Consider the following 1,486-nt stretch of genomic DNA (forward strand, 5'->3'; position numbering starts at 1 on the left):
GTAAAAAAGAAAAACCCATTTTCTGGGGAGGAATTCAAGCCCACTGCAGAAATCTGCATAAGTAATGAGGAGCCAAATATTAATCACCAAGACAATGGAGAAAATGTCTCTAGGGCATGTCAGACAACTTCAAGGCTGTCCCTCCCATCATAGGTCCAAAGGCTTAGGAGGGAAAAATGGTTTCTTGGGCTGGGCCCAGGGCTCCCCCTGTCTGTGCAACTTTAGGACATGGTGCCCTGAGTTCCAGCTGCTTCAGCTCCAGCCATGGCTAAAAGGGGCCAAGGTACAGCTCAGGCCATTGCTTCAGAGGGTACAAGCCCCAAGCCTTGGTGGCTTCCATATGGTGTTGAGCCTGTAAGTACACAGAAGATGAGAATTGAGGTTTGGGAACCTCTGTCTAGATTTCAGAGGATATATGGAAACACCTGGTTGTCCAGGCAGAAGTCTGCCGCAGGGGTGGCTGTCTCATGGAGAACCTCTGCTAGGCAGTGTGGAAGGGAAATGTGGGGCTGGAGCCCCCTCACAGAGTCCCCACTGGGGCACTTCCTGGTGGAGCTGTGAGAAGAGGGCTACCGTCCTCCAAACCCTGGAATGGTAGATTCGGCAACAGCTTGCACTGTGTGCCTGGCAAAGCTGCAGACACTCAATGCCAGCCCATGAAAGCAGCCAGGAGGGAGGCTGTGCCCTGCAAAGCCACAGGGGTGGAGCTGCCCAAGGCCATGGGAGTCCACCTCTTGCATCAGCATGCTCTGGATGTAAGACATGGAGTCAAAGGAGATCATTTTGGAACTTTAAGGTTTAATGACTGCCCTATTGGATTTTGGACTTGCATGTGGCCTGTAGCCCCTTTGTTTTGGCCAATTTCTCCCATTCAGAATGGGTGTATTCATCCAATACCTGTATCCCCATTGCATTGCCTTATCTCAGATAAGACTTTGGACTTGGACTTTTGAGTTAATGCTACAATGAGTTAAGACTTTGGGGACTGTTGGAAGTGCATGATTGTGTTTTGAAATGTGAGGACATTGGGAGGGGCCGGGGTGGAATGGTATAGTTTGGCTCTGTGTCCCCACCCAAATCTCACCTTGAATTGTAATAATCCCCACATGTCAAGGGCAGGACCAGGTGAGATAATTGAATCATGGGGGCAGTTTCCCCCATGCTGTCCTTGTGATACAGAGTGAGTTCTCTCGAGATCTGATGGTTTTATAAGGGCCTTATCCCTTCACTCAGTACTCATTCTCTCTCCTGCCACTCTGTGAGGAGGTGCTTTCCACCATTATTGTAAGTTTCCTGAGGCCTCCCCAGCCCTATAGAACTTTGAGTCAATTAAACCTCCTTTCTTTCTAAATTGCCCAATTTGCATATTTCTTCATAGCAGTGTGAGAACAGACTAATCCAGCATTCTAAGAAGGCTTTTCAAGTTTTTAAATGACATAACTTCTTCCATTTTCTGCAGCATCGATTTTGTTCTTTACCCTCTCAA

The 1,486-nt window shown here is 48.2% G+C and overlaps 1 annotated feature.

Annotated features, from left to right (window-relative positions):
* Window positions 515-1,015: an enhancer, noted in NCBI's record as "H3K27ac hESC enhancer chr9:103687397-103687897 (GRCh37/hg19 assembly coordinates)". NCBI's record gives its function as "activates a minimal SCP1, AML or CMV promoter by ChIP-STARR-seq in naive H9 embryonic stem cells {active_cell/tissue: H9 hESC(naive)}" and the evidence as "EXISTENCE:reporter gene assay evidence [ECO:0000049][PMID:30033119]".

This window comes from Homo sapiens, chromosome 9, assembly GCF_000001405.40.
Source record: "Homo sapiens chromosome 9, GRCh38.p14 Primary Assembly".
Lineage (NCBI taxonomy): Eukaryota > Metazoa > Chordata > Mammalia > Primates > Hominidae > Homo > Homo sapiens.